Source organism: Homo sapiens, chromosome 6, assembly GCF_000001405.40.
Source record: "Homo sapiens chromosome 6, GRCh38.p14 Primary Assembly".
NCBI classification, from domain to species: Eukaryota; Metazoa; Chordata; class Mammalia; order Primates; family Hominidae; genus Homo; species Homo sapiens.
In genome coordinates, this window is record NC_000006.12 from 121,163,329 (window position 1) to 121,178,568 (window position 15,240).

At 37.9% G+C, this 15,240-nt stretch overlaps 1 protein-coding gene across 22 annotated transcripts in view; it reads right to left on the reverse strand.

Moving 5' to 3' along the window:
- The window catches only part of TBC1D32 (TBC1 domain family member 32), a 255,236-nt gene that overhangs the window by 83,835 nt on the left and 156,161 nt on the right, over window positions 1-15,240 (reverse strand). For 19 of the 22 annotated variants that reach the window (NR_104452.2, XM_047418311.1, NM_001367759.1 and 16 more), the window contains one exon: window positions 7,077-7,199. The exons of 2 other annotated variants lie outside the window; for them this stretch is intronic. Coding sequence is in view for 19 of the 20 variants with exons in the window: in XM_047418311.1 (XP_047274267.1) it covers window positions 7,077-7,199 (123 nt within the window). In the remaining variant the exon portion in view is untranslated. Of the gene's footprint in view, window positions 1-7,076; window positions 7,200-15,240 lie in introns of those variants that run through there. One more of the 22 variants, XM_047418318.1, reaches the window with a different exon arrangement.

Here is a 15,240-nt window from a genome sequence, read left to right on the forward strand (position 1 = left end):
CAGCTTTGAAGAGAGCAGTGGTTCTCCCAGCACGCAGCTGGAGATCTGAGAACGGGCAGACTGCCTCCTCAAGTGGGTCCCTGACCCCTGACCCCCGAGCAGCCTAACTGGGAGGCACACTGACACCTCACACGGCAGGGTATTCCAACAGACCTGCAGCTGAGGGTCCTGTCTGTTAGAAGGAAAACTAACAACCAGAAAGGACATCTACACCGAAAACCCATCTGTACATCACCATCATCAAAGACCAAAAGTAGATAAAACCACAAAGATGGGGAAAAAACAGAACAGAAAAACTGGAAACTCTAAAACGCAGAGCGCCTCTCCTCCTCCAAAGGAACGCAGTTCCTCACCAGCAACAGAACAAAGCTGGATGGAGAATGATTTTGACGAGCTGAGAGAAGAAGGCTTCAGACGATCAAATTACTCTGAGCTACGGGAGGACATTCAAACCAAAGGCAAAGAAGTTGAAAACTTTGAAAAAAATTTAGAAGAATGTATAACTAGAATAACCAATACAGAGAAGTGCTTAAAGGAGCTGATGGAGCTGAAAACCAAGGCTCGAGAACTACGTGAAGAATGCAGAAGCCTCAGGAGCCGATGCGATCAACTGGAAGAAAGGGTATCAGCCATGGAAGATGAAATGAATGAAATGAAGCAAGAAGGGAAGTTTAGAGAAAAAAGAATAAAAAGAAATGAGCAAAGCCTCCAAGAAATATGGGACTATGTGAAAAGACCAAATCTACGTCTGATTGGTGTACCTGAAAGTGATGGGGAGAATGGAACCAAGTTGGAAAACACTCTGCAGGATATTATCCAGGAGAACTTCCCCAATCTAGCAAGGCAGGCCAACGTTCAGATTCAGGAAATACAGAGAACGCCACAAAGATACTCCTCGAGAAGAGCAACTCCAAGACACATAATTGTCAGATTCACCAAAGTTGAAATGAAGGAAAAAATGTTAAGGGCAGCCAGAGAGAAAGGTCGGGTTACCCTCAAAGGAAAGCCCATCAGACTAACAGCGGATCTCTCGGCAGAAACCCTACAAGCCACAAGAGAGTGGGGGCCAATATTCAACATTCTTAAAGAAAAGAATTTTCAACCCAGAATTTCATATCCAGCCAAACTAAGCTTCATAAGTGAAGGAGAAATAAAATACTTTATAGACAAGCAAATGCTGAGAGATTGTGTCACCACCAGGCCTGCCCTATAAGAGCTCCTGAAGGAAGCGCTAAACCTGGAAAGGAACAACCGGTACCAGCCGCTGCAAAATCATGCCAAAATGTAAAGACCATCGAGACTAGGAAGAAACTGCATCAACTAATGAGCAAAATCACCAGCTAACATCATAATGACAGGATCAAATTCACACATAACAATATTAACTTTAAATATAAATGGACTAAATTCTGCAATTAAAAGACACAGACTGGCAAGTTGGATAAAGAGTCAAGACCCATCAGTGTGCTGTATTCAGGAAACCCATCTCACGTGCAGAGACACACATAGGCTCAAAATAAAAGGATGGAGGAAGATCTACCAAGCCAATGGAAAACAAAAAAAGGCAGGGGTTGCAATCCTAGTCTCTGATAAAACAGACTTTAAACCAACAAAGATCAAAAGAGACAAAGAAGGCCATTACATAATGGTAAAGGGATCAATTCAACAAGAGGAGCTAACTATCCTAAATATTTATGCACCCAATACAGGAGCACCCAGATTCATAAAGCAAGTCCTGAGTGACCTACAAAGAGACTTAGACTCCCACACATTAATAATGGGAGACTTTAACACCCCACTGTCAACATTAGACAGATCAACGAGACAGAAAGTCAACAAGGATACCCAGGAATTGAACTCAGCTCTGCACCAAGCAGACCTAATAGACATCTACAGAACTCTCCACCCCAAATCAACAGAATATACATTTTTTTCAGCACCACACCACACCTATTCCAAAATTGACCACATAGTTGGAAGTAAAGCTCTCCTCAGCAAATGTAAAAGAACAGAAATTATAACAAACTATCTCTCAGACCACAGTGCAATCAAACTAGAACTCAGGATTAAGAATCTCACTCAAAGCCGCTCAACTACATGGAAACTGAACAACCTGCTCCTGAATGACTACTGGGTACATAATGAAATGAAGGCAGAAATAAAGATGTTCTTTGAAACCAACGAGAACAAAGACACCACATACCAGAATCTCTGGGACGCATTCAAAGCAGTGTGTAGAGGGAAATTTATAGCACTAAATGCCTACAAGAGAAAGCAGGAAAGATCCAAAATTGACACCCTAACATCACAACTAAAAGAACTAGAAAAGCAAGAGCAAACACATTCAAAAGCTAGCAGAAGGCAAGAAATAACTAAAATCAGAGCAGAACTGAAGGAAATAGAGACACAAAAAACCCTTCAAAAAATCAATGAATCCAGGAGCTGGTTTTTTGAAAGGATCAACAAAATTGATAGACCGCTAGCAAGACTAATAAAGAAAAAAAGAGACAAGAATCAAATAGACACAATAAAAAATGATAAAGGGGATATCACCACCGATCCCACAGAAATACAAACTACCATCAGAGAATACTACAAACACCTCTACGCAAATAAACTAGAAAATCTAGAAGAAATGGATACATTCCTCGACACATACACTCTCCCAAGACTAAACCAGGAAGAAGTTGAATCTCTGAATAGACCAATAACAGGATCTGAAATTGTGGCAATAATCAATAGTTTACCAACCAAAAAGAGTCCAGGACCAGATGGATTCACAGCCGAATTCTACCAGAGGTACAAGGAGGAACTGGTACCATTCCTTCTGAAACTATTCCAATCAATAGAAAAAGAGGGAATCCTCCCTAACTCATTTTATGAGGCCAGCATCATTCTGACACCAAAGCCGGGCAGAGACACAACCAAAAAAGAGAATTTTAGACCAATATCCTTGATGAACATTGATGCAAAAATCCTCAATAAAATACTGGCAAACCGAATCCAGCAGCACATCAAAAAGCTTATCCACCATGATCAAGTGGGCTTCATCCCTGGGATGCAAGGCTGGTTCAATATACGCAAATCAATAAATGTAATCCAGCATATAAACAGAGCCAAAGACAAAAACCACATGATTATCTCAATAGATGCAGAAAAAGCCTTTGACAAAAGTCAACAACCCTTCATGCTAAAAACTCTCAATAAATTAGGTATTGATGGGACGTATTTCAAAATAATAAGAGCTATCTATGACAAACCCACAGCCAATATCATACTGAATGGGCAAAAACTGGAAGCATTCCCTTTGAAAACTGGCACAAGACAGGGATGCCCTCTCTCACCGCTCCTATTCAACATAGTGTTGGAAGTTCTGGCCAGGGCAATCAGGCAGGAGAAGGAAATAAAGGGTATTCAATTAGGAAAAGAGGAAGTCAAATTGTCCCTGTTTGCAGACGACATGATTGTTTATCTAGAAAACCCCATCGTCTCAGCCCAAAATCTCCTTAAGCTGATAAGCAACTTCAGCAAAGTCTCAGGATACAAAATCAATGTACAAAAATCACAAGCATTCTTATACACCAACAACAGACAAACAGAGAGCCAAATCATGGGTGAACTCCCATTCACAATTGCTTCAAAGAGAATAAAATACCTAGGAATCCAACTTACAAGGGATGTGAAGGACCTCTTCAAGGAGAACTACAAACCACTGCTCAAGGAAATAAAAGAGGACACAAACAAATGGAAGAACGTTCCATGCTCATGGGTAGGAAGAATCAATATCGTGAAAATGGCCATACTGCCCAAGGTAATTTACAGATTCAATGCCATCCCCATCAAGCTACCAATGACTTTCTTCACAGAATTGGAAAAAACTACTTTAAAGTTCATATGGAACCAAAAAAGAGCCCGCATCGCCAAGTCAATCCTAAGCCAAAAGAACAAAGCTGGAGGCATCACACTACCTGACTTCAAACTATACTACAAGGCTACAGTAACCAAAACAGCATGGTACTGGTACCAAAACAGAGATATAGATCAATGGAACAGAACAGAGCCCTCAGAAATAATGCCGCATATCTACAACTATCTGATCTTTGACAAACCTGAGAAAAACAAGCAATGGGGAAAGGATTCCCTATTTAATAAATGGTGCTGGGAAAACTGGCTAGCCATATGTAGAAAGCTGAAACTGGATCCCTTCCTTACACCTTATACAAAAATCAATTCAAGATGGATTAAAGATTTAAACGTTAGACCTAAAACCATAAAAACCCTAGAAGAAAACCTAGGCATTACCATTCAGGACATAGGCGTGGGCAAGGACTTCATGTCCAAAACACCAAAAGCAATGGCAACAAAAGCCAAAATTGACAAATGGGATCTAATTAAACTAAAGAGCTTCTGCACAGCAAAAGAAACTACCATCAGAGTGAACAGGCAACCTACAACATGGGAGAAAATTTTCGCAACCTACTCATCTGACAAAGGGCTAATATCCAGAATCTACAATGAACTCAAACAAATTTACAAGAAAAAAACAAACAACCCCATCAAAAAGTGGGCGAAGGACATGAACAGACACTTCTCAAAAGAAGACATTTATGCAGCCAAAAAACACATGAAGAAATGCTCATCATCACTGGCCATCAGAGAAATGCAAATCAAAACCACTATGAGATATCATCTCACACCAGTTAGAATGGCGATCATTAAAAAGTCAGGAAACAACAGGTGCTGGAGAGGATGTGGAGAAATAGGAACACTTTTACACTGTTGGTGGGACTGTAAACTAGTTCAACCATTGTGGAAGTCAGTGTGGCGATTCCTCAGGGATCTAGAACTAGAAATACCATTTGACCCAGCCATCCCATTACTGGGTATATACCCAAAGGACTATAAATCATGCTGCTATAAAGACACATGCACACGTATGTTTATTGCGGCAGTATTCACTATAGCAAAGACTTGGAACCAACCCAAATGTCCAACAATGATAGACTGGATTAAGAAAATGTGGCACATATACACCATGGAATACTATACAGCCATAAAAAATGATGAGTTCATGTCCTTTGTAGGGACATGGATGAAATTGGAAACCATCATTCTCAGTAACCTATCACAAGAACAAAAAACCAAACACCACATATGCTCACTCATAGGTGGGAATTGAACAATGAGATCACATGGACACAGGAAGGGGAATATCACACTCTGGGGACTGTGGTGGGGTCGGGGGAGGGGGGAGGGATAGCATTGGGAGATATACCTAATGCTAGATGACACGTTAGTGGGTGCAGCGCACCAGCATGGCACATGTATACATATGTAACTAACCTGCACAATGTGCACATGTACCCTAAAACTTAGAGTATAATAAAAAAAAAAAAAAAAAAAAAATCAACATGCAAAAATCGCTTGCATTCCTATACACCACCAACAGGCAAGCCAAGAGCCAAATTATAAATGAACTCCTGTTCACAACTGCCACAAAAAGAATAAAATACCTAGAACTACAGCTAACAAGAGAAGTGAAGGACCTCTTCAAGGTGAACTACAAGCCACTGCTCAAAGAAATCAGAGATGATACAAACAAATGGAAAAACATTCCATGCTCATGAATAGGAAGAATCAGTATTGAGAAAATGACCATGCTGCCCAAAGCAATTTATAGATTCAATGCTATTCGTATTAAACTATATTGACATTCTTTACAGAATCAGAAAAAAAATATTTTAAAATTCACGTGGAACCAAAAAAGACCTCAAATAGCCAACACAATCTTAAGCAAAAAGAACAAAGCTGGAAGCATCACACTACCTGACTTCAAACTATACTACAAGGCTACACTAACCAAAATAGCATGGTACTGGTACAAGAACAGACACATAGACCAATGGAACAGAATAGAGAACCTAGAAATAAGGCCAAACTTCTACAACAATCTGATCTTTGACAAACCTGACAAAAATAAGCAATGAGGAAAGGATTCTCTACTTAATAAATAGTGCTGGGAGAACTGGCTATCTATTTGCAGAAAATTGAAACTGGACCCCCTCCTTATACCATATACAAAAGTCAATGTATTTCTTAAAATACAAAAGCTAAATTCACTTTTCATTTTAAGTTCTCTTTGCTAGACAGCAAAAAATTGATGGAGATACAATGACATTAATTAAAGAATACTTTCCTTGATAAATTTTACTGCATTTAAAGAAATGGAATTAGGACACGCATTATTTCTACAGTGACTTCAACAATCATAGTTTCAGTCAAGGTTTTCTTAAGTTTTAAAGCTGGTGCCTTAAATTCAAAATCTAAATGTTGCTTATGAGCAGCTTCCATACTCAGCAGCTGTTAATCTTTTCCTTCTACAAAAAACCTAGAGTATCAAGTAATATACTCCATAATAATTTTCCAAGACCTGGCTAAGATGCAGACATACTCTTTTTAAAAATTAATTACAGACATAAAGGCAATGCCAGCTATTGAATGTGTATTTGACAACAGTCAGCCAAATTGAGGTAATGGCAAGTGTGATTTATTAATGAAAAAAATTATCAGGATATTACCATAACCTCATTTTGGAAATAATCAGAATTTATGACTATGAACTAACATAATTAAGAGGATGGAATAAAGAGTGCCTCTGCAAAGGACACAAAATCAAAAATTTTGTTCAATGGGTCATCTTACAATAGCAGCTGAATTAAAAGGCGATATGGTTTATGGAACCATTAATAAAGTTATTATTGAACCATTAATAAAGTTAGGTCTTACCTAGTATTTTATGTATTACATATATATACACACATACCACACACATACACACACACACACACACGACAAAAGCAACAGACTTGAAAGTAGTACTCTGCAAGCACTCTCCAAACACTTCTATCATAATCTTTCTGTGACATTTACACTTTAGCTGCTTTGTATTCTGTTATTTAAATTGATTGAATTTAGAAAGCAGAAAAACATTAAACAAGCTATATCAAAAATTACTGTCTTAACAAAACATCTCTAAAGAAAACTGCTGTTACTCTGTTTTAATCACCCATTTTTACCTGTGGCTCTCAGAAATCTCCAAGATATTTTCTTCTTGAGCATTTAGTAACATTTCAGATACCTGATACTGAGCCTCTAACAGGAGAAGAGTGTCCAGATCACAGCATATCACACTTAATAACCTATATAAAAAAGAAAAATAAACGTAGATTGTGTAAAATATGTCCCAAAAGCATAATTACATCCTTGATGTCTCAAAGTAATACCTGTACATCAAAATCTAAATCTAACAGAAAGTATCATTTAGTTATTTCAGATATATTTTTAATAAATTAGAATAGTAATCTCCTCTTCAAAAGTTGTTCTGAGTATTTTTAAAAGACCATGGGTAATTTCCAATCTAGATTTTTTAAAATGTATCTAAATCTACATAAATAGTAAATTTTCCTCTCAACTGCCACTTAATTTAAAAATTCATCAGAGAATTTTAGCAAATCCAGAAAAACTCCAAATTGCCACAACTTTTTATTCAGCAGTTAATTACCAAAGTTATGACAGAATCATCATTTTGCTGCCAATCTAGAAAATGTTCATTAGATAAAATGTCAGTGGCTAATTTTATAATTGTCAGATCAAGCTAAGAACACCTAAGCCCACTTATCTATCTTAATATTATTAAAAGATACAAGCAGAAATCATGTGTCTCCTATTATAATGCAAGAGGACATACACTGCACTGTCTATGAAGTACTCTTGCCCAGAAAACTGAACCTCAATCTAATCAATCCTATACATCTCATTATCAGTTTACAGGAAACACAGGCATTAGAGAAACATATTTAAAAACACTGTAAGGAGAAAACAGTCAACCAAATTCAGAGTTTTGAGAATCCTACACATTATTATATATATATTATTTGTTCAGAAAACAAAAAGTCTTAAAAGAAACAGAGACGAAAAGAAACTCTTACAAGTTAAAAAAAAAAAAAAAAGGACCAAATGTCAAGATTTTGTTTTGATCTTTGATTCAAGCAAACTTTAAAAGTGCATTTTTAAATCACACAGGAAAATGTGGCAGTAATACGAGATGAGATGAGAAAAATATTGTTAATTTTGTTAGATGTAACAATGGCACAGTAATGAAGGTTTTTTGTTTTGTTTTTTAAAACATGTCCTTACTTATTAGAGATATGCACTGAATGTTTTATATGTATCAGATATTTGCCTTATCTAAATATCAGCATATCAGATATTTGCAGGTCTAACATGATTACATATTAAAACAGATATTTGCCTTAAAGTACTTAAGAAAAAAATGTATGTGGAGGGAGGGAGATGAAACAAGACTGGTGAAATACTGATAATTAATAAAGATGAGTGGTGGGCACATGAAAGATTATACTATTCACTACATTTTTATATGTTTAAAAATTCTATGATTATAAAAAGTGTTCAAACAAACATATCATGAGAATGCTAGGGGGCTATGGTAGAGTGGGTGGTTAGGTAAGGTCTCTCTGAAAGGTGGTATTTGAGGAAATAGGCGATCCAAGAAGAAACCAATCTTCCAGTAACACTGGAAGGTTATATATCCACTTAGAAATAACCCAAAAGCATGGAGGAGGGAGAAAAACAGCATATCACAGAAATGTTTAACCACAAAATAAACTGAAGGGCAGCCAAAGGCAGTAAAAATAGGACAAATGGTGCTGGGGAAGGGAACGAATGAGACAGGATATTGTGGCTGTTCATGATATATATATATTCTCTCTTGAATGCCACCACGTAAGATGTGCCTTTCACCTTCCACCATGATTATGAGGCCTCCCCAGCCACGTGGGAACTGTGAGTCCATTAAACCTCTTTTTCTTTGTAAACTACCCAGTCTCAGGTATGTCTTTATCAGCAGCATGAAAATAGACTAATACAGTAAATTTTGGGCTCCTCCTACCTTTAAGTCAACAGGCTAAGGAGTTACAATGTTGGCTGGGGTGACTGACCTGGACTATCAAGATGAAATCAGTGTACTACTCCACAATGGAGGTAAGGAAGAGTATGCATGGAATACAGGAGATCCATTAGGGTGTCTCCTGGTATTACCATGCCCTGTGATTAAGATCAATGGGAAAATACAACAGCCAAATCTAGGCAGGACTACAAATGGCTCAGACCCTTCAGGAATGAAGGTTTGGGTCACTCCACCAGGTAAAAAAACCATGACCTGCTGAGGTGCTTGCTGAAGGTAAACAGAATACAGAATGGGTAGTAGAAGAAGGTAGTCATCAATACCAGCTATGACCATGTGACCAGCTGCAGAAATGAGAACTGTAATTGTCATGAGTATTTCCTCCTTATTTTGTTAAGAACATGCTTGTGCATGTATACACTTGTACTAAGAAAATATCTTCATTTTATTTCCTTTCTCCTTTATCATGTGACGTAGAGTTATTGACTTCATATCAGCATTTAAGTGTTGTTAACTTTATATAGCATTTGGGTTGGGGATTGGTGTGTTTCCGGTTGTATAAAGGATAGTTATATTATGTTAGGTGTAATTATAATCTTTTTGTTGCCTTTATTTGAAGATTACATATGATTTCAGATGTTTATGAGCTCACACTGACGAAGGGTGGACTTGTGATGGTTAATATTGAGTGTTAACTTGATTGTATTGAAGGATGCAAAATATTGTTTCTGGGTGGGTCTGTGAGGGTGTTGCCAAATGAGATTAACATTTGAGTCAGTGGGCTAGGAAAGGCAGATCCACCCTCAGTCTGGGTGGGCACAATCTAATCAGCTACCAGCGCAGCCAGAATAAAAGCAGGTAGAAGAGCGTGGAAAGACTAGACTGATTTACTCTTCCAACCTACATCTTTCTCCCATGCTGGATGCTTTTTGGCCTCCAACATTGAACTCCAAGTTCTTCAGCTTTGGGACTCAGACTGGCTTCCTTGCTCTTTGCAGGAGGAAGGCTTCCTTGAAGATGGCCTATTGTGGGATGTCACCTTATGATTGCATGAGTCAATACTCCTTAATGAACTCCCTTTTATATATACTTGTATCCTATTGGTTCTGTCCCTCTAAAGAACCCTGACCAATATGAAAATAAAAGCAAAATAAATTTCTAAGAAGAAAAACAAAATAAAATTCCCAAAAATGAGGAGTATAACCCAAGAGGCAATGCCTAATCCTCTGTTTTCAACAGTGGAAATGGAGTACACAAGACCCCCAATATGACACCAAGAAGCAGAAGGAGCACAGTGGAACCAGAAGTCACAAAAAACTCTATTAATAATTAATTACTAGTTAGATTACAGAGACAATTACTAACAGAAAACTGTCTACCTCCATATCAAGATATATGGGGGGTACCAGGGGAGGGGAGAGGATGGCCGGAAAAAGGAGCAAACACACACATACAAAATTTGGGCCTTTAGAAAAATTCCATCTAACCAGGAGCATGACCCTAGCTTCTCTAGCTTCTCTTAAGCATAAGCCTCCTACAAACAGCTGCTGTGAAAAAGCTCACATCTCTCCAAAAAGAAGTACCATACAAAGGTGCTATAAGAAAAAATAAAAAAAAAAGATAAAAAGATGGAAGATACATACTAAAAAAAAAGTTGCCTTTAAATATTAAACTGTGAACACACAATTTTCTATGAATTAAACAAGTTTGATAAAGCAGTGGTCTCCATTAAGCTCCTTGCACAAAATAAAAATCTATGAACACAGGGAAGAAATGGCAACCAGAAAAAGTAAAACATGAGCTGGCAGAGCTAAGGAATGAAATAGAAGAATAAAACTGTCATAGAAATGAAAGTATAATTGCAAACAGTAAAAAAGAAAACAGATACTGTTAAGAAGATAATAACAAATATAAGGAACAGAATGACAAAAATGTGAAAAATATAATGGAAATAAGGAGTTTAAATTATTGATTTCTTGAAGAGAAAACTGAAATAATCTAACATGATATATCTTTAAAGATATTAGTCAAGAAATTCTCCCCGGGAGAAAAAAAAGTCATCAATCTAAGTACATAAACTGTACAATATGTCCCAGAGTAAACTGAATCAAAAGAGTCAGCACGGAGACAGAACCTGGTAAAGTTAAGCTTAACAAGTAACAAAGAACCATTGGGGTATCCAGGCAAAACGACCAAGTTACTACAAGAGTGGGGCGAGTGACATGGAAGGAGGGGAAATCAAATTGTTCCAGACATAGCTGCAGCAACATTCAATACCAGAACAGTAGGACAAAACTGGAAGGAGGTCTAACATGATTAGATATTAAAACATATTACAAACTGTAAGAATTTAAACAGCTTTAATGACAAAGCAAAAGAAAGTCAAGACATAGACTCTAATACACACAGGAATTTTAAATTATGTTAAGAGTAAAGGGACCAGGCATACTGAATCATGCCTGTAATCCCAGCATTTTGGGAGGCTGAAGCAGACAGATCACTTGATTCCACGAATTCGAGGCCAGCCTGGGCAACATAGCAAAACCTGTCTCTATTAAAAATACAAAAAATTAGCTGCTCATGGTGGCACACACCCATAGGTCCCAGCTACCGGAGAGGCTGAGGTGGGAGAATCACCTGAGCCCAGGGGGTCGAGGTTGCAGTGAGCTGTGACTGCACCACTGTACTCTAGCCTGCGTGACAGACCTTGTCAAAAAAAAAAAAAAACTGATAAGATTTCCTGGTGAACTAATTATGATGTAGAGTAAAAGAAGAAAGAAATCAAGAATGACTCTTGGGTGTTTAGTTTGAACAATAGGGAGGATCAATGTTATCATCAACCCAGATATATAAGGCTGTAGGTTAAGAAGGTTTAGGGAGACACTTTTCTTTCTTTAGGCTACTAAACCACTGAATAGATAATGAAAATGACTGTCAGTGGATTTTGAGTTAAGATTTGAAAAGAGAGGTCTACAGGATCTGGATGTACAATGAGGTGATCCAAGGTGAATTAGGGCAACTGTATGAGTAAATACATACCTGGACTGAATTCTGCTAATTAGGGAATGAGTAAATCTAAAATAACAAATGACGTAAGACTTTTAAAATCTTACAAGTACTAGAAATAATGTAAAGCTTAGCAAATTTAATCCAGCAGTTAATTAAAATAGTACCATATTGTGACCAAGCACAGCTCATTCCAGGGATAAAAAGAGAGTTTAATATTAAAGTATCTCCTGATGTAATTTATGACATCAATATGTAACAGAAGAGAGCCATATAATCATCGGAACAGATGCTTAAAAGCTCTTTGATTTAAGATTCAACATCTACTTTCTATTCCTTGTCCCCCAAAACATTCTGAGTAAATTAAAGAAAGGTTACCTCTTTAATTTGATTTTTTAGAAGACAAATCTATCTCAATACAAGATCTAAAAGCATAAACAGGAAAAGCATTCCCATTAAAGTCATCAGGAAGGCAAAACTGCCAATTATTTTTTAACATCGTTCTAGAAATTCAAGATAATGCAAAAAGACAAGAATAAAATAAAGAGGCATGCTATGCAAAAGGAGATAGAATGTTCATTATTAGAAGACAATAAAACTGTTTGTGAATCCATCTCCTAATCACATAAATTTCAATTTACTAAGAAAAACACTGGTTGAATACCTACTAAGTGCCTACTACTGTTTTAAATGTTGGCAATTCGCCAATAAACACACATACATACAAATATCCCAGTCTTTATGGAACCCTAAATAGTAGGGGAAGGGAACAACGAACAAAATTAAAAATTAAACAACAAAGTAATGGATACTACTAAAACAAGAAAGTGAAAAATGAGTTTTAACAAGCAGTGAAAAAAATATATCACTGTGTGTAATTTTAAATAACGTGGTCAGGAAAGAGCTCACTAAGAAGGTGATAACCTTCTTAGGAAAGACCTAAAAGTAGTGAGGAAGCAAGCCATGTAGCTATTGGGGGAAAAGGTGTTCCAGGTACAGCAAATAGCTTCAGTCAAATACCTAAGGTGAGAGAATTTCTAACCTGTTTGAACAGGAAGGGGGCCAATATAGCTGAAGTGGAATAACAAAGGGAGAAGTACACATTGAGCATCCCAAACTCCAAAATCCAAAATGCTTCAAAATCCAAAATGTTTTGAGCACCAACATGATGCCACAAGTGGACAATTCCACACCATGTTATGGATCACGGTCACAACACAGTCAAAATGCACAACACACAGTTTACTTGGCATCCCTACTGTTCAATGTACATTACCTGTTTTTCTCCCCCCACCCCCGAGATGGAGTTTCACTCTTGTCCCCCAGGCTGGAGTGCAGTGGTGTGATCTTGGCTCACTGCAACCTCCACCTCCCAGGTTTAAGCAATTCTCCTGCCTCAGCCTCTGGAGTAGCTGGAATTACAGGCACGCGCCACCACGCCCAGCTAATTTTTGTATTTTTAGTAGAGATGGGGTTTCACCATGTTGGCCAGGCTGATCTCAAACTCCTGACCTCGTGATCTGCCCACCCGCCTCAGCCTCCCAAAGTGCTGGGATTACAGGTGTGAGCCACCACACCCAGCCCAAGGTATAGTAACCTTTTAATCAAAACACGGCATCATAGGTGGAGACCGAAAGCCTGCAGTTTTATGTTCAACAGCTAAGAAAGGTGTTCTGGTGATGCTACTGTGCTGCCAGTTATCCTGAATATGTCATTTTTTTTTTACTGTATAAATGGTATGTTACATTTTTTAGTGTTAAATACTATGTGTGAATAAGTGTAAGGAAATGATTGCTTATCAGTAGCTGATATAGTCTGGATATGTGTCCCTGCCCATATCTCATGTCAAATTGTGATCCACAATGTTGGAGGTGGGGCTTGGTGGGAAGTGACTGGGTCATACGGGTGAATTTCTCAATGGTTTAGCACCATCCCCTTGGTGCTGTTCTCATGATAGTGAGCGAGTTTCTCATGATAGTGAATGAGTTCTCATGAGATCTGGTTGTTTAAAAGTCTGTAGCATCTTCCCTCTTGCTCCTGCTCCTGCCATGTAGGACGCTTGCTTCTCCTTTGCCTTCCACCATGATTGGACGCTTCCTGAGGCCTCCCCAGAAGCAGAAGCTGCTATGCTTCTCGTATAGTCTGCAGAACCATGAGCCAATTAAACCTCTTTTCTTCATAAATTACCCAATCTCAGGTATTTCTTTATAGCAATGTAAGAATGGACTAATATAGTAGCATACAAATTTAGAGTCAGGAAAGATGGTGACAGCAGGCAACCATAGATTGCCTACATTGGTGGCTGAGATAGTGACACCTTTGCTTTCTAATGGTTCAATGTACACAAACTTTGTTTCATGTATAAAATTATTTTAAAATATTGTATAAAACTACATTCAGGCTTTGTGTAATAAGGTTTATATGAAACATAAATGTATTTCATGTTTAGAATTGGGCCCTACCCCCAAGATATCAAACTATGGATATGCAAGTATTTCAAAATCTGCAATCTGAAATACTTCTGATCCCAAGCATTTCAGATAAGGATACTCAACTTGCATTAGGAGATGAGGTCAAAACAATACTAGGTAGGTGTATTAGTCCTTTTTCACACTGCTGATAAAGACATACCCAAGACTGGGTAATTTATAAAGGAAAGAGGTTTAATGGACTCATAGTTCCACATGCCTGGGGAAGACTCACAATCATGGCAGAAAGTGGAAGGCACATCTTACATGGCAGCAGGCAAGGGAAGAAGTGCCAGCAGGGGAAATGCCAGACACTTGTGAAACCATCACATCTCATAAGAACTCACTATCTTGATAACAGTATGGGGGAAACTGCGCCCATGATTCAATTATCTCTGCCTGGTCCCGCCCTTGACACGTGGGGATTATTACAATTCAACATGAGATTTGGGTGGGGACAGAGAGCCAAACCACATCAGTAGGGGTCCTGATTACATAGTCATCCATTGTGATGACTCTGGATTTTGTTATGGTGACATGAGAAATCACTGGGGATGGTTTCATACTGATGATATGAAAAACTTTGTGAGTACAGGACTGAGATTACCTGATTTGTATTTTAATGGGATCACTACAGCTGCTATGCACGTAATAGGCTAAAATTAGCTAGGAGCAGACAAAAAGAAACCAGTTAAAAAGCTATAGCAATAATTTAGATAAGATAGTAGCTTAAAACAGGGTATTCCTAGGATTTCTGGACTGAAAGAATGGCTCTGCATTGTC